Here is a 23271-nt window from a genome sequence, read left to right as displayed (position 1 = left end):
GCACAGTCCAGCTCAAATGCTGCACAGGCACTAGAGGCTGTTACTAGCATCTCTGTTGTAAACAGAAAACTAGCTTGCTTAAGCCAAAGATTAATGACATTAATAGTGGGCAGCAAGTATGTGTGTACATGAATGTAGGCACACATATGCACAGGCAGACCCTTGGGCTTTGGACGTTCGCATGAGAGGATGAGCAGCTCCCCCTTGGTGTCCAGAGCTATCGGTTTCCACTCTTTTTTAACTTTTTAAAAAAAATCATTTTTAATCCTAGCACTTTGGGAGGCTGAGGCAGAGGGATCACCTGAGGTCAGGAGTTCAAGACCAGCCTGGCCAACATGGTGAAACCTGTCTCTACTAAAAATACAAAAATTAGCCTGGCGTGGTGGCGGGTGCCTGTAATCCCAGCTACCTGGGAGGCTGGGACAGGAGAATCACTTGAACCTGGGAGGCAGAGGTTGCAGTGAGCCAAGATCGTGCCATTACACTCTAGCCTGGGCAAGAAAGGGAGACTCCATCTCAAAAAAAAAAATTATTTTTATAGAGACGGGGTCTCGCTTCGTTGCCCAGGCTGGTCTCAAACTCCTGAGCTCAAGCAATCCTCCTGTCTTGGCCTCCCAAAGTATTGGGATTGCAGACGTGAGCCACCACACCTGGCCCTGTCCCCATTCTTAACCAAAGGCAGCATCAAGGGAAGAGGGGTGGGAGCCCAGGGGGCCTGAGATGTGGCAGAGCCTGGCTGTGCCCAGTGCCAAGTTAGCAAGCTGCAGATGCAGCACCTTTGTGTTAACTTTTGTCCCTGGTCACAGAGCCTCACACCCCACAGCCAACTGTAAACACTATTTTTAACCTCTGTGAAAACAGTTTCAGAGAACAAACCTACAGTTATATTGTCCACAAACCTGTTTCCTGGGTGGAAAGACTGAGGCCTGAAAGAACACAGCCCTGCCAGACAGAGGGAGGAGGCCCAGAGCTCAGATCTGGTGGGAAGGAGGAGGGCCTGACCCTACCACAGGTTAGAACCTCCAGACCTGGGCCTGTGGCAATGTGCAGCTCTCCAAACTGTTGCCTAGGCCTGTCCTTGTGGCTATAGGGCAGCTCTGAGCCTAGGCTGCTGCTCCAGGCAGGTTCCACTCCTCCCTGCCCCCCTTTTTTTCTCTCTATTTAAGAAATGGGGCCGGGCACAGTGGCTCACGCCTGTAATCCCAGCACTTTGGGAGGCCGAGGTGGGCGGATCACGAGGTCAGGAGATCAGGACCATCCTGGCTAACACGGTGAAAGCCTGTCTCTACTAAAAATACAAAAAATTAGCTGGGCGTGGTGGCGGGCGCCTGTAGTCCCAGCTACTCGGGAGACTGAGGCAGGAGAATGGTGGGAACCCGGGAGGCGGAGCTTGCAGTGAGCCGAGATCACGCCACTGCACTCCAGCCGGGTGACAGAGCGAGACTCTGTCTCAAAAAAAAAAAAAAAAAAAAAAAGAAAAGAAATGGAGGGTGGAATTGCCCACCTGGTCTGGTAGCTTATATTTCCTATGCATCGCCCCATCTAATTCATTGTCTGACTTGTCCTTGCTGTATATGCAGCTCTATGCCCACTGTGTACTCAGTCCTCCACCCACTATGTCCCCACTGTGGGGCTAGCCCTGAGACCACTGTGGTCTTACCATCCTGTAATTGCCACTTGGCTAGCCCTGTGGCTGCTGTGGTGCAGCCCTGTGCCCAGAGCTCTGCCCCCATTATGGCCAAGATGAAGCTGACACAATGTGTCAAGAGCTAGAAATTCTGACTTGAGGATTCTGAGCAGAGGCCCCACCCCCACCCCTGCCACCCCCATCCCTACCCCTGCAGGATACTGGTCCTGGGCTTCAGGGACATGTGGCTCTGGGGAGGGGGCTCCATGAGGCACAGGCAGAGGAGAACCATCTGGAGCAGCAGAGACTGCCAAGGAGCTGCTGTCCCTGGAGCGGGAGCCGGGGAACATAAGGAGGGGAGCTTGGGACTGAGCTTGGGTCCCTCACCCACTTCTGCCTCCCAGGGCTGAGTGGTGAAGGGACTTTGCACACCATCCAAAGGTTCTGTGCCAGGGGCTTCCTCAGAGTCTCCCCTGCCTACCTTTTTCCTCTGGCCTTATCCTGACAGTTCCTGGCCCTCACTGTGGGACTAGCCTGGGCAGAATGTGCACCTGGCTGGGAAGGATAGGGGAGGCTGGCCTGCAGCTGACTGACTTCACTGGTGTCCCCTGGCCCCCTGCCTCCTAAGGTTCCCTGGGCAAGCCTCCATTCTTCAGGAGCATGGGGACCCTGGTTTCCTACACTCTGGCACTCCCCAGGTCACTGTGATGTCACCCCTTCCCAGAGCCACATGTCCCTGAAGCCCAGGACCAGTATCCTGCAGGGTTAGGGATGGGCGCAGCAGGGGTGGGGGTGGATCCTCTGCTCAGAATCTTCAAGTCAATCCCCAGGGGGCTGTGATGTGTAAGGTCACCATGGCAATGGAGTGAGGGCAGGGCACCTAGGGCATGGAGCAGGAGGACTATGGAAGCCACCAAGAAGGTGGGGGGCCCTGATCCATCGGGTCCCCAGGACCACCCCTCAGCCGGCAGCCAGCAGCTGGGGAGTGGCCTCAGAGGGTCTCAGGGACCACGGATAAGCTCAGAATCCCTATACTTCAAGCAGGGGTTGTCATTGTCTACCAAGACCATCACTGATGGTGCCTGTGGCCCAGCCTCCCAGGCCTGCATCCCTGGGTCCATTTGCCAGCTACTCCAGGATCCTGCTTGGGTTAGCTCCCAGTGCTGCTGTGAGCAGGCCTCCCAGGATGCCCCGAGACTCTCCTCCACTAGTGTATCTTCAAGTCCCATTGTGGGAGCCCAACAACATCTCATCATGGAGGATGTCACCCTGACCTTACCAGAGTGCATGCACAGTGACAGCACCAGTGACATAGCCCAGTGTGGACCCTGCCACCTTCGGTTTCAGGTGCAGAATTTGGGGGAAGGCAAGCGTCCAGCTAAGGTCCTGGTAGGCTGGGGCAAAGGCCCCTGCAGCTCCGACCAGATAGCCTCCTTGGGCAGCAGGAAGAGTCGGTGGCTGCCCTTCCTCCTCTCAGGAGAGAATGGTGCTCCCGAAGCCCAAGGTGCTCTTCTGGCTCCAGCTCAGGATCTAGCCCAAGATCAGGACCAGGGTAAGTGTCCAGCTCAGGCTGCTGCCCTAGTTACACATTCTTTTTTAAAATTTCTTTCTTTCTTTTTTTGAGATGGAGTTTTGCTCTTGTTGCCCAGGCTGGAGTGCAATGGCGCGATCTCAGCTCACTGCAACCTCCGCCTCCTGGGTTCAAGCGATTCTCCTGCCTCAGCCTCCCAAGTAGCTGGGATTACACGTGCCCGCTATCACATCCAACTAAGTTTTGTATTTTTAGTAAAGACTGGGTTTCTCCATGTTGGTCAGGCTGGTCTCAAATTCCCAACCTCAGGTGATCCACCTGCTTTGGCCTCCCGAAGTGTTGGGATTATAGGTGTGAGCCACCGTGCCCGGACTTACACCTTCTTTTCTGTCACTGACTCCTCCAATTCCAGCTTGGGCTACGACTCCAGCTCTGGATGTTACCCCAACCCCCACTGCAGTTGAAACTGACATCCATACCATTGATCACCTGACTGACACCACTGCAGTCACCAAGGGCCCATCTCAAGACCTCCTTCTCAGGAAGTGTGGCAATCAGTGGTCAACTGTCTTGGAGTCTTCCAAAATAGTTGCATCTTGCCAGGACAAAGTGAATCTCCACTCTAAAGAGGAGGCTCCCATCCCAAAGCCTACTCTAGAAGAGCGCCCAGACCATGCCCAGGAGGAGGAGGTTACCAGAAGGAAGGTGCCCAGAAGGAAGGTGCCAACTGAGGAGGCTGAGAACCCCATGAAGAAACTTCCAGTCTCTACCTCCAGGCCAGGCAGCCCAATGCCAGGCCCAGAGCCCCCAGTTATCTCCAAGTCCCAGAGGAGTAGCCAGGAGATCTGTAGCTCTCAGCCACAGAAGCAGCTCCCCAATGTCTGTGACAATACCAGCTCTAATGTGCCACTGTCTGCCTACCAAGTAACCTGCCACAAGCAGTCCCCATTCCAGTCTCCGAAGGAAGCCATGCAGATCCCCCTCTCCAGTGCCCCAACCTGCCAGCTTCAGGAAGTTGTGGAGGACCGTGTGCTGGTATTTGATGGGGCTGCTGTGCCATGACCCTGTGGGCTCACGGGCAGTGCTTGTGGGCCTCATGCCCAGCCACCCATCCATCTATGTCCCTGAAAATATGCTGTCCACCCAGCTGTCGGCCAAACCCATCCTGTCTCCTGACAGCAATCACTCCAGCTTTTGGTCTATCACACCCATGCTGTCCAGCCCAGTGCCCTGCAGCCTCTCATCTGGCAGCTACCGAGAGGTAGCCCTGATTCCCAAGGAGGCCAGGCTCAACCTGGAGTCATGGGACTCCCCTGGTACTGAGACACCCATCAGGGTTGGGATGCTGACTGGGCCTGTTCCACTGGGGATGCCCCTCCAATTTGATGAGAGGATACTGACCCATGTCCCTAATACTAGCTGGTCCAAGCCTGATGGTGAAAAAAATGAACCTAGTCATACCATCTGGATGCTAGACCCTTCCATGGCACCCTCTAGGATGCCAGATGCCTCCATAGTCCAGACCAAGAAACTGCAGTGGATGAACTCAGAGCCTGCTGCACCAGCCGATACCCAGGAAGTGCCCAGATCCCTCCTCCAGGAAGACATAGGCAGCCACGAAGAGGTCATTCCTGCTCACCCTGATAACCCTCAGGCCAAAGATGCTGGACAGACTCTCCTCACTGGGCAGATCCTCCTTGCTGGACAGCCACCCCTACCTGAGCACCCCCTTACTGATCAACCCCCTCTCACTGGGCAGACACCCCTTGCTAGGAATCCCTCTTTATCTAAAGAACCCCCCATCACCAAAGAGCCCACTCTTTCAAGATGGTCCCCCAACCCTGGAGAACCTGGCCAGGTCTCCACCCAGGAAGATGAGCCCTTAGGCCTGCCTACTCATGTAGGGGTATTTCAGGTGCCCCTGACCCCTGAGGAGACCTGTATCTATATGAGTAGAGACAAGGTTGGCATCAGTAATACTCAGCACTCCATCACGCATCAGCAGCAACCTGGCAACTCCCCTAGGACCCAGGAGGAGCAGCTTCCCTTGATCACATTTACCACACCTGGCACTGGACGCAAGGTCTTGCCCATGGCCATGGTGGCCACTGAGCCCCAGAGTGCCCCATTCAAGCTGACAGCTGAGGATCTTACACACTTATCAGTAGTTGCACACCTTGGACTGCCCCACGGGGCCTGCTATGAACTGGTGTCCACCATGGATGCTCTGCCAGTTCGGTCGCCAGTGCTCTGCTGCCACTCACTGGGACCCTTCCAGGACATGGCGGCCGTGGTGATTGATACAGGCACAGGATTCACCAAATGTGGACTGGCGGGAGAGGACCATGTCCTCAGTGTCATACCCTCACGAGTTCAGCTGCTGCAGCACCCAGCCCAGGGCCAGCCACGATATGCAGTGCCTGAAAACCAAGTGGGATCCTATTCAGTGCTGAACCGTGGTGTGGTCTATGACTGGGATGCACTAGAGGTGCTATGGCAGCACCTGTTCTATTGAAGGCTGGGTGTGCAGCCCGAGAAGCTGTCTGTGCTCGTAGCCGACTCGCCCATCTCACCACTCACCAACCGAGAAAAGGTGGCTGAAATACTCTTTGAGCATTTCCATGTCCCAGCCATGCAGACAGTGCATCAGGCCCTGCTGGCGCTCTATGCTTATGGACGTACCACTGGGCTGGTGCTGGGCAGTGGCCATGGCACTTCCTATGTGGCACCCATCCTCACTGGGGATCTGGCCCCACTTGACACCTACCGGCTGGATGTGGCTGGTGCTGACCTTACTGACTACTTGGCCCAGCTGCTGCAGAGAAGTGGCCACTCACTGCCCCAGGCAGGACTGATCAACCAGATGAAAGAGGCCTGCTGCTACGTGGCCATGGATGTGGCAGCTGAGAGGGCCCACACCCAGGCGCAGGCCGAGGTGGACTTTGTGCTTCCAGACAAGCAGGTTATCACGCTGGGGCCTGAGCGCTTCTGCTGCCCTGAGGCCCTCTTCCAACCCAATCTGATAGGTCTCAACCAGCTGGGCCTTCCACAGCTGGCCCTCCTAAGCATCAGCCGGTTGGAGGCCAAGCAGCAGGAGCAGCTACTGGCCAATGTGGTACTGGACGGTGGCAGCACCCTCATGAGTGGCTTCCCTGAGCGCCTGAGACAGGAGCTGGGCCCTGGTGCCACTGTGCTGGGGTCTCCCCACCGTGCAGTTGCTGCCTGGCTTGGGGGCTCCATCATGGCATCCCGGAGCTCTTTCCAGAGCCTGTGGCTCAGCTGCCAGGAATATGAGGAAGAGGGCCCATGGGCTATCTATAAGTACCAGCTGTGAGCATATAAAAGTTCTGGTTCTGCTTTCTTTAAGCACCGTGGCATGTTTCAGCCACAGGGTGGTGTGGGAAAAGCAGGAGTCCAGGCATGGGGTCATGGATGGGGGCCCTGGCTCTCTCCAAAGGCATGCCCTGCCTCTGCACTCTGGAACTCCATGGGCCCTGGCAACCTACCCTTTCTAGACAGCCCCGGAGCCCCTTGACTGGCATTGGCTCTGATCTGGCCTGACCTTTACTGCACCCCAAGGGCAACCACAGACAGTGGCTGCTGTGGGTTTTGCCCCGTTGCCCTGACGACAAGTGCAATTACCCTTGATTGCCAGCTTGTTGCCATGGCAATTTCAAACATAATGTAATAACCCACACAGCCTGGAGTGAGTCACAAGGTGGGGGGCGGGGGGCAGCCCCCTCCCCTGGCTCCAGAGGAAAAGACTGCTTGCCCTTCCCCATTGTGGGCCCTCTTCTGGGGACTGAAGCCAAGCAACATGGACAACAGTCAGGCAGTTTCAAAGATGGCTGGGGGCCTGGGGTGGGAGGGTTCTGTCAGAGTTCAGGCTTCTTGGGGAGCTGCACTGGTAATCTAGGTACCTCCTAGAGTCTGAACCTTTGCTGGAGCGCTATGCTGGGTTAGCAGGGGCTTCTATCAGCCAGCCAGAATCTAAGGGCATAGGAGTGCCGGCCTTTGGCACCCTAGAGCTGGGAGTTGGGGGCACAGATAAGTCCTGGATCCTGGGTAGGAGGCCCAACCTGAGCTGGGGGATGAAGCTCTGTGGATACTGCGGCTCGCACCTTATTCTGCCCCTCTGACTTTCTAGCTTTGGTGGGAGCCAGAACTACGAACTTGGGCCCTCTTCTCCTCCTCAGCCTCCCAACCCAGGCAGCCCCTGTCTTCAGGGTACAGGCCTCCTTAGGAGGGTCCTCATAAAGGCTACTAGGCAATGCTAATCTGGATTGCCTCTGCTCTTGTTCCAAACTCTGGTCTGTGCTAAAGGGCCTCCTGCCATCACTCTGGCCAGTGGAGTGGTGAGAAATCATGTCCCCTGACCCCGTCTGGCTTTGAATAGTGGAAGTAAGAACAAAGCTCAGCATTGGTCCCGTCCCTGCCCTGGAAGAGCTAAGAGGATGGCATTCAGCTGATGTTACTATCTCCTGCCTGAAAGGCAGCTGGAGGTTGAAGCCAAAACATTGAAGCCGGTCCTACCCTGCCTGTGCCTTCCTGTCTAGGGGCTGAGGGATAAGCCATGGCTCAATCCTAGCCCTGGGTTCTTGTCTTCAGATTGCCCTCCACAAATGGCAAAGACTTGTCTATCTTCACATACACCAGAGATCAAGGGGCTGCTCTGGTGGGGAGCCTGAAAACAGCCAATGATGTAGGGTCAGCACAGACCCTGCCCACTGCTGGACATGGTCCAGCCCCCTTCCCATGTCCAGCTCTCAAAGCCTGATTCAGCCTCCACAATCCTGAGACTTGTGTCAGGCAGGAAGGGGACTGATAACTCCAGGGACCAGCTACAGCGTCCACACACACGTGCCAGCAAGCATGCCTGGGTGCACAAAGAATGCAGACACACGTGCCCCTGGGCACCACTGCATACACTGTGCTGTTGCATCTCCCTCGGCAAAAGAGAGCATACACAACACGTACACGTGTGCACACACACCCTGCCACGTGCTCTCACCCACATGCACAGAGCGTGCTTAGGACCAAGAAGAGGTGGAGTACTGCCAGCAGCAGGCAGGGCGCTAAGGAGCCACCCCTTCCCCTGCCTAAAAATCCCCATTCCAGCTTCTCATTGACCCCCATGCCTGGATAGCCATGACCCTCAGGAAAGACAGAAAACATGTATGTGGCATGTGTGGGGTCAGCAAGCTACAGCTTGGCTACACCATAAAACTCAGAGACCCATTGTTTCAAGAATAGTGGGCAGATGGCAGGAAGGACTCAGTGCCAGGCCATTCATTCATTCTGCAGACATCAGCCGAGCATACTGAGATGAGAAACGGGTTCTGCCTTGCAGATACCCAGCCTGCCAGGAGATTCCTACCCAGTGGTGGGGTGGGTCCCATAACCCGAGACCACTCAGAGCCCAGGGACCCCAGAAGTGGCACCAGCCTGGCCTAGAGGAGGTAACACCAAGCCAGGGAGGAAGGTGAAGGGCTCAGTACCCCCTCTGGAGGAAAATTTTGAGGAACCTTGTTTGAGGCGGTCATTTCCTAAGCTAGCCTTCAGTCTGAGCCCCAGCCCCAGCTTCTGGACTTGGACAGTCCCTCCTGTCATCAGCCATGGGTGGCCAGGGCAGCCTCAAGATGGCTGAGGGTTTGGGGATGACCCCAACTCCCTCTCCCACAGCAGGGTCAGGAGGCTCACTGGGAGGAGTGAGGTGGGATAAAACCCAGCTCCAGACACTGAGAGGCCTGAGTCTGGTCTTCAGATACTGGCCTTAGGATGGTCCTCAGGGCTTGTGAGGGGTGTGGGTCAGGCTTTGGGTCCGTGAGCCTCACTGACAAGGGACAGAGAAATGGCCAAGGACTTCCTTTAAAGCTTCCTCCTGGTGGTTCTGAGCCTCCTCCCTCTGATTAGCACCCAGGCCAGGTGGGATACCTTGGTGCCACAGTTCTCCTGTGTCCCCATATCCCAGGCCAGGCCACTAGAGTGATACAACTCATGAAGTGTTTGACAGTGATTAGACTGAAAAGAAAGCAGAGGCCACACCATGTCACAGGTGACTTTTATAGTTTGGGAAATTTGGTGCCACACAGGAAGGGGCTGACTGTGCTGCCACCCTTGCTGGTACTTATGTTTGGGAAAGACTCTGGCCTTGCAGGAGTTGGGGATGGGGTGGGATAGGAGACTTTGCTACTACAGTCTAGGGCCCTCACTGTTTTCACACTGACTACCTGCAAACACACACCTCTGTGTGTTTACTGCTCCTAGCTAGGGGATGCGTAGCTAGGGGATGCTAGGGGATGCCACACTGACTACCTGCAAACACACACCTCTGTGTGTTTACTGCTCCTAGCTAGGGGAGCCTGCCCTAGCCCGACTGCCCATCTGGTTTTTCTAAGTTGGTCCTGCCTTTTGGGTCGGGTTCGGGGAGCTGGGCAAAGCCCCGTTCCCTAGAGACTAATGACTGGCAAGCGATCCTATGCAGCTCCAGGACTCAGGCTTTCCCCCAACTCTCCACTCACCACCCCTTACATTGGGCATAGGAGGCCTCCTCCGGCCCCAGGCTGAGGGCCTAAGGGAGCCATTGAGAACCTTGGCCAGGGCTAAGCAGGCCAGTGCTCACCAGCACCGCTGCCATCCCGCGCGCTCCTGCTCTCCAGTGGGATTCTGCCCTTAAGGCTCCGCCAGGGTCGGGGCGGGGCCGGTTGGGAGGCCCCGCCCCCAGCCCGCCCCCGGCCCGGGGTGCGAATCCGGTGCCGGCAAGCGGCTGGCGATGCTGGAGGTTCGCTAGCCGAAGCGGCTGCATCTGGCGCCGCGTCTGCCCCGCGTGCTCGGAGCGGATTCTGCCCGCCGTCCCCGGAGCCCTCGGCGCCCCGCTGAGCCCGCGATCACTTCCTCCCTGTGACCAACCGGCGCTGCAGGTGCGGGGCGGGCCGGGCTGGGGGCGCTTCCCGAACGCAGGTTGTGGGGCCTTGGGGGATTGTTTCCCTGGCTCGAGGTGCGGGATGCAGAGTGCGCGGGGGCGCAGCGAGGGCTCGAGGTCCTGGCGGGGTCAGAGCGCGCGGGCTTTGCAGATTTGGGGGAGGGAGTGCGGGGTCGGGCTAAAGTTCCCCATTACCTCGGACGGCTTGGGGGTTCTGGGGGGAAGCTTCTGCGGCTCGGAATTGTGAAAAGATTAACCCTCGAAGATTCGTGGTCCCCCGTGAGGATAGGGGCCGAGAGCTGAGCCGTCCCTCCCCGTTCCCAGAGCCGCCTCCAGCCCCTCCCAACTGTCCCCGGGCCCCTTCCCTCCCGCTTAGCAGTCACTAATTTCCATGACAACGGAGAGTTCTTTATGGGCGACAACCCGGAGGGGGCTGGGCGGGGCTGCCGCGGGGTGGGGGAGGAAGCTCCAAGCCCCTGGGGACCAGCAGCCCCCCAGCCAAAATTCAGCTTCCAAGCCTTCACCTGGGTGCCAGCTGGGGGTCCAGTGCATGGACCCACGTGCACGGTGGGGGTGGGGGCGCACATGTTCCTGCTGGGAGGTGCGGGGCTTGGTGCTCACACGTGTGCTTTCCGCATGTGTGTTGCTGTGCCAGCGGGGGCGAGCCAGCAGCACTTGGGAAAGGGGTCAGGGTGGCAGCACGGTGGGGAGCAGGGCCCCTGGCTGGAGGTGGCTGGGATAGTGACAGCATGAGCTTCTGCCTTCCCCAGCTTGTACTGTTTGGCAGAGACCCTGGGCTCTTGAGCCCCAGCCCCCTCCCCGCATAGCTCTGCCAAATTGCTTTTGTCCGCACCTCCCAGGCAGATCCTGCTCCACCAGGTTCCTTCCTAAGGATCAGGGCCCTCTGTCCCACACTAAAAGCTCAGAGTCTGCAGTAGTCCAGTCCCTGTGCTGTACTCCCCTTACCCCCAAGTCCAGGCTTTGAGCCCCCAGGACTACCTTTAGAGACCTGGTGCCCTCCCCCACCCTCAGAGTTGATTCCTGGCAGCTCCAGCGACTTCTGAGCCTCAGTTTCCTCAACTGGGGAACTGGTGTCTCCACTCAGAGTCAGGTTGGTTTCCAGGGTGGGGCAAGGGTCTCCCTTTTCTAATATTTGGTGTGGACCCTTCAGGTGCTCTCCTAGGCTGGCTGTTCACATATCTCTGATGGCCCTACTCTCCAGCCCCATGCCCTGGCCACCATTCACAGGCAGGCAAGCAGTCCTCTGCCCTGGGAGAAGGCCAGATTCCATGGTTTCCATTAGGGGAAACTGAGGCATGGGGAGGTGAAGGGCTGTGTGGTTATCCTGTTTCTGGGTTGCTTGTGGTGCCGTTTCTGGCACTCATGGCAGGATCTGCTGTTGGGGGTTGGTGAGAGGGGATTAAGCAGAGCTGTAAGAGGGGCTCTGGGGACCCAAAGCCTGGAAAGGATAGCAGATGGGGGAGGGGTTGGCTGGGAGGGTCTAAGTACAGCTGGGCCAACTGAGAAGAGGGACTATAAAGGGAAGCAGCCAGGCATCCGAGCCTCATTTCCATACCCCTATGCGTCTGCCTTCAACATGTTGGACCTGCTTTACCTAAGCTGCCGTGATGGCAGAGAGACGGGCTGGGAACTGTCCTGACTGGGGGGCTGCAGCAGCTGGCCTCTTCCCCACCAACATGCTCCAAGGAGCTGGCCTCCTTTTGGCTGTGCCTCCTACACCAAGTTCAGTGTATGTTTGGGGGATACAGGAGGGTGCAGTCTCGAAGGTCCCAGTACCATGGATAGCTCCTGGCCCAGGGATTTAGAGCACATCGCCATGGAGGCCTTAGGGCTCTGCTGGGCACCCATCCGCCCCCTTCAGAACTCCCGTCCACCTCCCCTTTCCTGCCCTTTGTGCCTGTGTCCCTTTTACTTTGTCATCTCCTTGCTCCTCTTCCATCACAGGTTCTGTCTTTGTCTGTGTCTCTGCCCCATTCTCTTTTTTCTAAATTCTCTCCATCTCCCCACCTCCCCTTTCTTGATGGGGACCTGGGTCACAGAACCTTGAAGAAGCAGCCAGGCTAAGGTCTCAGGAAATTCTTGAAGAAGGGACCTGACCAACACATCTCCCCTCCCCCTCCCCTTGTTTTAAAACTTCCATCACCATAGCAACCCTTTACTCTAGTGCCTTCCTCTGCATTTCCCCTCCTCCACCCACAGGGAAGCAGAGCCTCCAGTGGATTCTCCTTCAGGGGTTCAGAGATTTGGACCCCAAGTGCTTGGGAGGAGACAGCTGGCCTTTGGCTTTGCCTGCATGTTGACAGCTAAACTTTCGGGATGTAGCACTGGACTGCATGCCCACCCCCAAAACTGGAGAGACCTCCCCACAATACTCCCTCATTAGATGGGCAAAATTCAGCTGTAGGAACTTCTACCATGATTTAGCTCGAGCCGGAGGCTCAGTCAGGGCAGCCCCTTGACCGGTCCCCTGAAGCAATTGGATGGTGGTCTAGAAGCTTGGCCCTTGTTCTTAACAGACCTTGAGGGAGGTCTTCAGCTCCCCTGGTCCTGTGGGTGACACCTCAGCTGTGAGTTAAGCAGGGCTTGGGCTTCAGCATGTTCATTGCAGCAGGAAACCCAGCCCCAGCCCTTGAGAGAGTAGAGCAGCAGAGAGGAGGGGGTGCCTGCAGGCTGGTGTTCACAGCTGCCACTAAATTAGGAGGTGTTGCCTACAGTTGTTGGGAGGCAGCTGGAGGCCTCTTGGGCCCCTCCTGGCCTCCCTAGATTTACTGCAAGCTCTGGAGCCCCACGTGGCAGGGGACCAAGGTAGCAGGAAACTCTGTTTATGTCTATGAAAGGTAGGGCCTGAACCAGGATGATCTCAGCGGAGGAGGGGACAGGACCCCAATGTGGGGCCTCCGGACCTCTTGGCCTTTGTCCCGTTTGGGCTTTCCCTGGGCCAGACTTACCTAAAGATGCAGCAGAGTCCCTGGGGGACCATTTATCACCAGGGCACCAACAGAGGACCCCTCAGGATTGCTGGAGGCTCAATTCCCTGAGTCCAGTGGTCAGGCCCTGGGAGCAGGCCATAACTGGGGAGTGCTTGGCTCTCAGGCTCCATGAGAGCCAGCTGGAGGGCAATGGCCGCACCAGGGCCTGCACTCCCCACAAGCTCCCTCTGGGCAGCCGGTAGTGCATACTGTTCAGTTCCTCTGCAGAGAGTGGAGGGAGCCATGTCTCCAGGGAAATGGCTGTTGTGGAGCTCCCATGCCCTTCCATGGCCTAAGTGTACCTGAGGAAGAGCTCAGATCCTGTGTTGCTGAGAGGAGAGCTCTCCATTGTTGGGTGTTGGGTCTGGGCCATGGGGGTGAAAAATACAAACCCCTTCCACTTGGCCTCCTCTCTTTCTGAGAGCTGTCCCTTGGCTGTTCCTCCCAGGTCTCCTTTGTTGCAAGCAGGTGCCCAGGGCTTGGTGCACACACCCGAAACCTCCCAGGGAGCAACAGTGGATAGCAGATGGTGGAGTGGGTGTGGGCAGAGGGAACCAAGGTGCTAATTGAAAGCCAGGCCCCTCTTTCTCCTCTCTTTGCCCTGGGGCCAAGTCCAGGGCCCCAAGCCAGTATACTTAGACTGGTGAGGAGGAGGAGGAGGAGGAGTGACTGGCTGAAATTTGGGCAGCCATAGTAGGGGGCAGGGGAGACAGATCTGTTCCCATCTCAGCCTTGAGGCTTCAGGACATGGCTCCAGGCTGACATTACGGGGTGGAGGCCCAGTTTTCTGTGCCTTTCATGGGACAGACCCCCATGACCAGCCCTGGACCTCAGTGGGCACGAATGCATATGCAGAGCCGAAAGCTGGGGCCAGGATCAAGGACAGGCATGCACAAAACCTCCCACCCACGCCACACTGGCAAAGCTGGGAGCTGTTGGAGTGGGGTGGGGGGTGGGGCATGGAGGTTGTGGAAGGTATCTCAGAAAAGGGCCATTTTGAGTCTGGCCTTCGAGCATCAGGATTGTTTTGGACAATGTGTTGCACAAACCACCTTATAATGTCAGAAATCACAATGAAAGAAGAGATTCAGTTCTGCTCTCAGCACCTCGCTCATGTGGCAGCTGCTCCACAGGAAAGCCAAGGTGGGCAGAGCTCTTGCCAGTGCCCACACTTCCTACCATTGAGTGGACACAGTTGAGCTGGCGAGTCACCTGTTGTTGGACATTTAGGTAGTTGCTGAATTTTTTTTAATGTTATAAATAACTCTGCCGTGACAAATAGGAATCTGACGGGAGGCTTTTGGGGGAAGGGCACTCTTGCCAGAGGGAATGGTGTAAGCAAAGCAACAGAGCCAGGGCACAGGTCCCTCCCAGCCTTCTTGGGAGACTGCAGGCTAAGGTACCATCCTCCTGCCCAGTACACGGCCCTCAGACTGAGATGACTGTTGCAGGCCCCCTCCTGCAGCTGTTATGGTGTGAAAATGTGTAGCCGGCAATGGTAACTGGCTATGCCTCTGCTCTCAGCTGTGAGGATGGGATTCTGGCCACATGCTTCTCCCCAGTGGAGGAGTGCAGGGTTGTGCCCATGGTGGCAGACATGCAGTCAGTGACGATCTTCAAAGCCTCTCCTTTGTCTCTGCTGTGCCTCGCAAGATGGCTTAAACCCTGTCTGGAATAATGCTGATGAAATGCATTTGTATTCCCTGAGCCCAAGCAACCCAGATGAAGGAATGATAGAGTTTGTTCCCTAATGCTGAAGGCAAATCTGAGGGAGAATTTCCAGGGCTGTGACTCCTGGGAATCACAGCCTGGTGGCTGGCTTCTGCCTGGGAGGAAGCAAGTAGCAGCCAGGGTTGGCTATGGGGCTCGTTTGGGTCCTGGTCTTTGACTTTGGCTGGCAGAGTTCATCTTGCCAAGCTGCCTCCTTTGCCTCCTCCCTTCTCCACTACCTTGAGGCTGTGAGTGCCTTCAGGTCGGGGAGCATCTAGGTACCCCCAGGCCCTAGCTCAGGCCCTGCACACAGCAAGTGCTAATTGGCATGGAGGGAAAACATGCACAGTCAGCAGAGGCAGAGCAATTTCAGCGCAGCCTCAGTGCAGAGCTTGCTGTAGCCCCAGTGTCACACTGACCGGGTATTATGGAGGCACACCCTGGCGTCAGATCTGTGAAGGTCTAGTCAGTAACCCCCCACCCCCAGCTTTGAGCATGGGCTATGAGTGCCTTTTCCTTTGGACACTGGAGTCAGCCCCCCTAGCACTACAGATGAGGATTGGGCTGTAATTGGCAGGATTGCAGACCTGTGGGACACCGTGCCCCAGGTGGAAAGAGTGCCTAGCGCTCACTGAGCCAGCTATATCTGTTCTGTTTGGGGGCCTTGCACCTGGACCTGACAGCCCAGGTCCCCTGTGGGCCCCAGTGGGCATGAATGCATATGCAGAGCCGAAAGCTGGGACCAGGATCAGGCTTGTTTTGCTCTTCCTGACCAGTACACCTGCATACCTCCTGGCAAATCTTTTCCTACTGAGTCCTAATGCTGCCTCCAAAGCTTTACCTTGCCTCTCCACCCAGATTATCCCTCTGAGGAATCCCCCAAGCACTGTGCCTGAGTGCAGTATTTACTAAATTCATCGAAGTCATTATAGTAAAATAGTAAAAATTCGCACAGAAAATTAGTAAACAAAAGATATGTCTGCCTTTTTGACATCCAATTCTTTGCCCAGGAGAGAACTCTTATTTCCTTCAGTATTCTTCCAGAAAAGAGTTTGTGAGGGTACATCAGTATGTAAACTTTAAAAAATTTACCCAAGCCAGGTATGGTGGCTCATGCCTGTAATCCCAGCACTTTGGGAAGCTGAGGTGGGAGGATCACTTGAGCCCAGGAGTTCAAGAACAGCCTGGGCAACGTAATGAAATCCTGTATCTACAAAAAAATTTTTAAAAATTAGCCAGTTGTGGTGGTGTGCACCTATGGTCCAGTCCTAGCTACTCAGGAGGCTGAGGTGGGAGGATCGCTTGAGCCCAGGAGGTTGAGGCTGGAATGAGCTGTGATCATTCCACTGCATTCCAGCCTGGGTGCCACTGCATTCCAGCCTGGGTGACAGAACAGCTGGGCATGGTGCGGGTGCCTGTAATCCCAGCTGCGGTGGGAGGATCGTTTGAGTTCAGGAGCTCTGGGCTGCAGTGCGCTATGCCAGTTGGGTGTCTACACTAAGTTTGGCATTAGTATGGTGACTTCCTGGGAGCTAGAGCTCATCAGGTTGCCTAAAGGAGGGGTGAAGCAACCAAGGTCAGAGACGAAGCAGGTCAAAACTCCTGTGCTGATCAGTAGTGGGCTTGTGCCCATGAATAGCCACTGCACTCCAGCCTGGGCAACATAGTGAGACTTGTCTCTAAAAAAAGAAAGAAAGAAAGAAAAGAAAAGAAAAGAAATAGGTCTTCCAGAATCCCCCCATGTGTCCTGAATCAATCATAACCCCTCCTTTTCTCTTAGAAGGGACCATTATCTGACTCTGCTTATTTCCTAGCTTTTCTTTATAGCTCTACTGCTGTGTTTGTATCCCCCTTACGGGTTTGTTCTGCCTGTTTGAACTCTATCAATAGACTCATACTATATGTATTCTTTTGTGTCTTTTTGCACTTAACACTGTGTAAGAGTCACCAGGTGGTTGGGTATAGCTGTAGCTCCTTTGTTTCCATTGCTATATAATATTCCATTGTGTGACTCTACCACAATACATCCTGTTGGTGGTGGTATTTGGTCTGTTTTCAATTTTTGGCGATTATGTATATGGCTACTATGAGCATTGTATGACTGTCCTGATGCACGAATATGTGCACTTCTGTAGGCACGTATTTAGGAGTGCAATTGCTGGTTCATAGGGTATGTTTGTTTGACTTTAGTGGTTTTACCAAACTGCTTTACAAAGGGGAGTTTGCCCTCTCCTAGCAGTGCTCACGTTCTTCATATATCCACTAACACTTGTTAGCTCTAGACCTTCAGAGATGACTAGCAGGTGGGTGGGTGGTTATAGCCCCCTTCATCTGTAAAATAGCTGAAATTTAAATAAACTGTTTGATAAGCCTTTTTTTTGAATGTATAGAATACAAAACTATTCCCTTATATATCAGCTTAATACATTTTTTCATATGTAGGCTGTTGCACTTCAGGCAGCCAAGCTGAGTAGCTGGATGTCTAGCCAGAAAAGCAGGGGTAGGATCTAAGCCTGCCTATCCTCTAGCCCCTCCTGGTATGGTCTCTGCCCCTAGCTTGGCCTGAGCCAGGTTGGGGTCTCCCAAAAGCAGCCCCTATGTTGTGGGGAAGTGGAGAGTAGTACAGCTAAGCCAGACCCCATTGTGCCCGCAGGTTAGAGCCTGGCAATGCCGTTTGGGTGTGTGACTCTGGGCGACAAGAAGAACTATAACCAGCCATCGGAGGTGACTGACAGATATGATTTGGGACAGGTCATCAAGACGTGAGTGCCGGGCCTGTCAGGCAAGGCTGGGTGGGCTGGTGAGCAGGGGCTAGGGAAGTGGCAGTGGAGTGCAGCTGATGCTAAGGCCAGGCCTGAGTGGGTGCCTGTCGGCTGCAGTGAGGAGTTTTGTGAAATCTTCCGGGCCAAGGACAAGACGACAGGCAAGCTGCACACCTGCAAGAAGTTCCAGAAGCGGGACGGCCGCAAGGTGCGGAAAGCTGCCAAGAACGAGATAGGCATCCTCAAGATGTGAGTTTGAGGCCTGGGATTGGGGCGGGGTGGGAGGCAGCAGGGAAGGGCTTAGAGGGCAAGTGGCCTCAGGCAGTCCCAGCCTCTGGCCAATTAGTCTGCTGTGGCCACTGTGGTGACCACAGCCTCTCCCAGGGGTTCATCCAGCCCTAACTACTGGCTCCCCTCCCTGTCGCCAGGGTGAAGCATCCCAACATCCTACAGCTGGTGGATGTGTTTGTGACCCGCAAGGAGTACTTTATCTTCCTGGAGCTGTGAGTGTGGGTCTGGGGACCCAAGATTCCCCAGCGCCCAGGGCTTTCACCTGTCCCACCCTCTGCAGCTAAGGAAACCCCCTTTCTGGACCCTTGGCGTCCCAGGTCCCTGTGCCTTGCTCAGCCAGCTGCCTGGCGTAGGCAGCTCACCCAAGTGCTCCTGCCCTACCCCTGATTCTGCCCACGCCAGGCTCAGGGGCTGGTGTCCCTCAGGGCCACGGGGAGGGAGGTGTTTGACTGGATCCTGGACCAGGGCTACTACTCGGAGCGAGACACAAGCAACGTGGTACGGCAAGTCCTGGAGGCCGTGGCCTATTTGCACTCACTCAAGATCGTGCACAGGAATCTCAAGGTGAGGGCAGAGCCAGAGTCAAAGGGCCAGTTGGCAGCTGGGCTGGTGCTGGGGTGGGCAGCACCTCAGGGCCTTGGTCTAGCCTCCAAGGTCCTCATGGTGTCTTCTGCTCACCCACATGCTATTCTCACACCACAGCTGGAGAACCTGGTTTACTACAACCGGCTGAAGAACTCGAAGATTGTCATCAGTGACTTCCATCTGGCTAAGCTAGAAAATGGCCTCATCAAGGAGCCCTGTGGGACCCCCGAGTATCTGGGCAAGCAGGGGGTGGGGCAGGGGCAGGGGGATAATGGGGGGCAGCCTTCAGGGAGCTGCTCTGGGCAGGGGGAAAATGTGCTCATCTCAGGAAGCTGGTGTGGATGGTACTGGACCTGGCTAGGCCTGATACTGACCAGCAGATGGGCGCTGTGTTTGTAGCCCCAGAGGTGGTAGGCCGGCAGCGGTATGGACGCCCTGTGGACTGCTGGGCCATTGGAGTCATCATGTACATCCTGTGAGTGGACAGATGGACAAGCAGGCTTGCAGTCAGATGGGGTGGGGGCATGTGTCTGTGGCCTTTCTGTGTGACCCTTCCCCCATGCAGGCTTTCAGGCAATCCACCTTTCTATGAGGAGGTGGAAGAAGATGATTATGAGAACCATGATAAGAATCTCTTCCGCAAGATCCTGGCTGGTGACTATGAGTTTGACTCTCCATATTGGGATGATATTTCGCAGGCAGGTGAGGAGGTGCCTGCCCAGCACTTGGTAGAACGCAAGGGAGTGGGGAGGGTGTCCTGCTCTCATCTTCCTCTGTGGTATTCTGCTTCTGTCCCCCAGCCCATTTATCACCTCTAGACATTGAGATGGGGTGCCCATGACTATCCCCTTCTTGGTTTTGTCCACAGCCAAAGACCTGGTCACAAGGCTGATGGAGGTGGAGCAAGACCAGCGGATCACTGCAGAAGAGGCCATCTCCCATGAGTGGTGAGCAGGGTCCAGGGGAGGGTGGGAGAGGCCAGGGTCCCCCTCACACCCAGCAGCCCCATCTTTGAGGCCTGGAAGGGGTGCAGGTACCTAGAGCTCAGGGCAGCCCAGAGGCTCTGCCTGGTAGTCCCTGGATGCCACATAGAAGGGCTGAGCAGAGTCTCCACAAAGGCTCATTCTCTCAGATCCAGACACACTTGCACCCTTTCCAGGATTTCTGGCAATGCTGCTTCTGATAAGAACATCAAGGATGGTGTCTGTGCCCAGATTGAAAAGAACTTTGCCAGGGCCAAGTGGAAGGTAAGGCTTGGATAACTCCCTTCTTGGCTCTATCCCAAGTATTGCTTCTGGCACTCAGTTTCTTGCCTGCATCACACCCCTGCAGCCACACACAAGCTTTTCTCAGGCCATCAGGTGTGGGTGTAGCCACTGTGATTACCTTAAGTAGGAGTGCTGAGCAGCTGAGTACTTGGCCCTGGGGTGGATGGAGGTGGCCGGGGGTACTATGGAAGGAGTTTGGTTTGGTCACTGCCAAGCAATGGATCCAGCAAGCCTCACCCTTAGCCTTTCTCCACTGTGCTCCTTTCAGAAGGCTGTCCGAGTGACCACCCTCATGAAACGGCTCCGGGCACCAGAGCAGTCCAGCACGGCTGCAGCCCAGTCGGCCTCAGCCACAGACACTGCCACCCCCGGGGCTGCAGGTGGGGCCACAGCTGCAGCTGCGAGTGGAGCTACCTCAGCCCCTGAGGGTGATGCTGCTCGTGCTGCAAAGAGTGATAATGTGGCCCCCGCAGACCGTAGTGCCACCCCAGCCACAGATGGAAGTGCCACCCCAGCCACTGATGGCAGTGTCACCCCAGCCACCGATGGAAGCATCACTCCAGCCACTGATGGGAGTGTCACCCCAGCCACTGACAGGAGCGCTACTCCAGCCACTGATGGGAGAGCCACACCAGCCACAGAAGAGAGCACTGTGCCCACCACCCAAAGCAGTGCCATGCTGGCCACCAAGGCAGCTGCCACCCCTGAGCCGGCTATGGCCCAGCCGGACAGCACAGCCCCAGAGGGCGCCACAGGCCAGGCTCCACCCTCTAGTAAAGGGGAAGAGGCTGCTGGTTATGCCCAGGAGTCTCAAAGGGAGGAGGCCAGCTGAGTAGGCAGCCTGGTGAGGGGGGGCAGGGGATGGGCAGGAGGGTGGGAGAGTGGATGAGGGGCTTCTCACTGTACATAGAGTCACTGGCATGATGCCCTCGCTCCCCCATGCCCCCACATCCCAGTGGGGCATAACTAGGGGTCACGGGAGAGCAGTCTCGTCTCCTGTGTGTATGTGTGTGAGTGGTGGGCAGGCCAGTGGCAGGGCCGGCCCCAGCCCCTGCATGGATTCCTTGTGGCTTTTCTGTCTTTTGCTAGCTTCACCAGTTTCTGTTCCTTGTGGGATGCTGCTCTAGGGATACTCAGGGGGCTCCTGCTCTCCTTCCCCTTCCCTTCTTGCCTCACCATTCCCCTAGGCAGGCCCTGCAGGTCCCACACTCTCCCAGGCCCTAAACTTGGGCGGCCTTGCCCTGAGAGCTGGTCCTCCAGCGAGGCCCTGTCAGCGGTCTTAGGCTCCTGCACATGAAGGTGTGTGCCTGTGGTGTGTGGGCTGCTCTAGGAGCAGATACAGGCTGGTATAGAGGATGCAGAAAGGTAGGGCAGTATGTTTAAGTCCAGACTTGGCACATGGCTAGGGATACTGCTCACTAGCTGTGGAGGTCCTCAGGAGTGGAGAGAATGAGTAGGAGGGCAGAAGCTTCCATTTTTGTCCTTCCTAAGACCCTGTTATTTGTGTTATTTCCTGCCTTTCCGAGTCCTGCAGTGGGCTGCCCTGTACCCTGAACCTCATGAGCCTCTAAGGGAAAGGAGGAACAATTAGGACGTGGCAATGAGACCTGGCAGGGCAGAGTACAAGCCCAGCACCCAGTGTCCCAGCCTTACTGGGTCCTTACCCTGGGCCAAACAGGGAGGGCTGATACCTCCTTGCTCTTCCTAGATGCCCACCTCCTACAATCTCAGCCCACAAGTCCTCTCCACCCTAGGGGGCTTGCTGCATGGCAATAACTCATAATCTGATTTGGAGGTTTGCCCTTTACAGGGGCAGATTTTCTGCTCAGTTCAACAATGAAATGAAGAGGAACTCCCTCTTTCTACAGCTCACTTCTATCAGAGGCCCAGGTGCCTCAGAGCCACATTGAGTTGCTTTTTCTGGGATGAGGAAGTAGGGTTAAACTCCCCAGTTTCCTGAGGGAGGCTCCTGACAGGTGCCCTTTGTCAGACCCTACCACAGCCTGGATAGGCAGCCACATTGGTCCTCGCCCTTGCTCGGCACTCCGTGGTGGTCCTGCCCTTCTCCCTGCATGCCTGTGGGTCTGCTCTGGTGTGTGAAGGTCGGTGGGTTAACTGTGTGCCTACTGAACCTGGCAAATAAACATCACCCTGCAAAGCCTCTGGCCACCCTCTCGCCTTTGCTTCCTCTGTCCTACTGGGGAGGAGCCCCTGGAAGGCAGTGGGGAAGGGAGAGGCTGGGAGCAGGTTCACAAGTAGTGGCTGGGAGTAGTAGTGAACAGTGCCCTGTGGATTTCTTGGGCTGAGGGTGAAGATCATCCTCACCACAGTGTATTCCTCAATGGTGGTGGTGGTGGGGGTCCTCTGAACTCTAGAAATCCATGTGAGTAGTGGGTCTTGGGCTGCATTTGGACCAAGGAATACTCCCTGGGCTGAGAGCTCAAGTAAGGGCTGCTGTTTTTGACTCCTGTTGACCGAGGAGCCTTACTCTTGATTTAGGCATAGAGCTGGAATCTACCTGGGCCAGCCACCGCAAGGACAGACCCTGCTCATAGCCAAAGATAGCTTCCCTGAGCTAGGGAGAGGGTGTAGGGTGAGCAATGCACAAAGATTCTATGCTGCTCTGTGTTGATTCCTTCTTTCTGTGAACACCTGTGCTTTCCACCTATGCCCCAAATGAAATCTCACTCTGGGTCTATTTCAGCTGGAGCAGATCAGCTTTATATTATGGGACTATGCACAGGGTTTCTTCTGGGTAGAGGGAGTAACACTGCCACAGATACTAAGCCTAAAAACCCAAAAGTTGACTTACTCCAGCCCAGGTGGGCCTGGGTGAACTCACCAGGGATGCTGCTCTCTGGGAGGACCTCAAAGATAACCTCCTCAAAGATAACTTCTCTGATGTGGGAATAATAAAAAGGATTTGTTAGTCTCTAGTCTTTGAAGCATCTGGGCCTCCAAAATTCCAACCCTACTACAGTCTCAAGCATAACTGATCCTCCTGAGAGCTAAGAGCTAAAGTCAGGGTACTGGCCCTAGTGTCTCCAAACTCAAGGATAGTCATATCTTACTTGGATGAAGCCAAGGTTGGCCTGGGGTGACCTGAGGGACTGGGGCCTATGTGTCCATCTTTCTAGAATCGCCCGGAACTGAGGACTGAGAGGGTAGGGTATTGTGGTCTATGGGAACTACAGACCATAGCGCATGGTCCATCACTGTCCAGAGCCCAAGGGACCCATCGGGACCATTGTTCTATTCCCTTGCGGCTGCGGTTTTCTCTGCCTTGGCCCAGCCTGCCTCGCGCCAGCTCTGGCATGGGACCACAATGCGCTGCCTTGCCCTGGAAAAGGGTCCAGCTGGCAGCCTCGCTGCTCCCCGCCTTGATATAATGCTGCGCTCTCAAGTGGCAGGTCGAGTCTCCCCAGAGGACGCCTGAGAGCGACCGCGCTCCGCCCAGGATTCTCTACGGCCTCGGGGCCGCTAAGCCCCGCCCATAGTTCCGCCCATCCGAGAATTTGTCCAATCCAGGCGAAGTATTCACGCTCCGCCCAAAGTTTTGTGTTGTCACTTCCGGCCCGCTCCAGG

General features: G+C 55.8%; 1 protein-coding gene and 2 pseudogenes across 2 annotated transcripts, besides 2 other annotated features; all 3 read left to right on the top strand.

Annotated features, from left to right (window-relative positions):
- ACTL11P (actin like 11, pseudogene) lies at nt 2530-6491 on the top strand (annotated as a pseudogene).
- CAMKV (CaM kinase like vesicle associated) lies at nt 9930-21847 on the top strand. 2 transcript variants are annotated; one of them, NM_001320147.2, is made up of 12 exons: nt 9930-10078; nt 17434-17542; nt 17660-17791; nt 17971-18045; nt 18259-18397; nt 18536-18656; nt 18818-18893; nt 18984-19120; nt 19287-19365; nt 19578-19665; nt 19955-20066; nt 20160-21847. In NM_001320147.2, the coding sequence occupies exons 2-12, from the start codon at nt 17448-17450 to the stop codon at nt 20516-20518; spliced, it is 1413 nt and encodes a 470-aa protein (NP_001307076.1). In that variant the 5' UTR covers nt 9930-10078; nt 17434-17447; the 3' UTR covers nt 20519-21847. The 2 variants fall into 2 exon arrangements, with proteins under 2 accessions (NP_001307076.1, NP_076951.2); NM_024046.5 differs by having other exon boundaries at nt 19955-21847.
- Nucleotides 10246-11177: an enhancer, noted in NCBI's record as "H3K4me1 hESC enhancer chr3:49906092-49907023 (GRCh37/hg19 assembly coordinates)". NCBI's record gives its function as "activates a minimal SCP1, AML or CMV promoter by ChIP-STARR-seq in primed H9 embryonic stem cells {active_cell/tissue: H9 hESC(primed)}" and the evidence as "EXISTENCE:reporter gene assay evidence [ECO:0000049][PMID:30033119]".
- Nucleotides 11178-12110: an enhancer, noted in NCBI's record as "H3K4me1 hESC enhancer chr3:49905159-49906091 (GRCh37/hg19 assembly coordinates)". NCBI's record gives its function as "activates a minimal SCP1, AML or CMV promoter by ChIP-STARR-seq in primed H9 embryonic stem cells {active_cell/tissue: H9 hESC(primed)}" and the evidence as "EXISTENCE:reporter gene assay evidence [ECO:0000049][PMID:30033119]".
- On the top strand, nt 16176-16461 carry RN7SL217P (RNA, 7SL, cytoplasmic 217, pseudogene; annotated as a pseudogene).

This window comes from Homo sapiens, chromosome 3, assembly GCF_000001405.40.
Source record: "Homo sapiens chromosome 3, GRCh38.p14 Primary Assembly".
Classification (NCBI taxonomy): Eukaryota; Metazoa; Chordata; class Mammalia; order Primates; family Hominidae; genus Homo; species Homo sapiens.
Note: the sequence above shows the minus strand (reverse complement) of the source record. Positions and strands in the feature narration are given on the sequence as shown.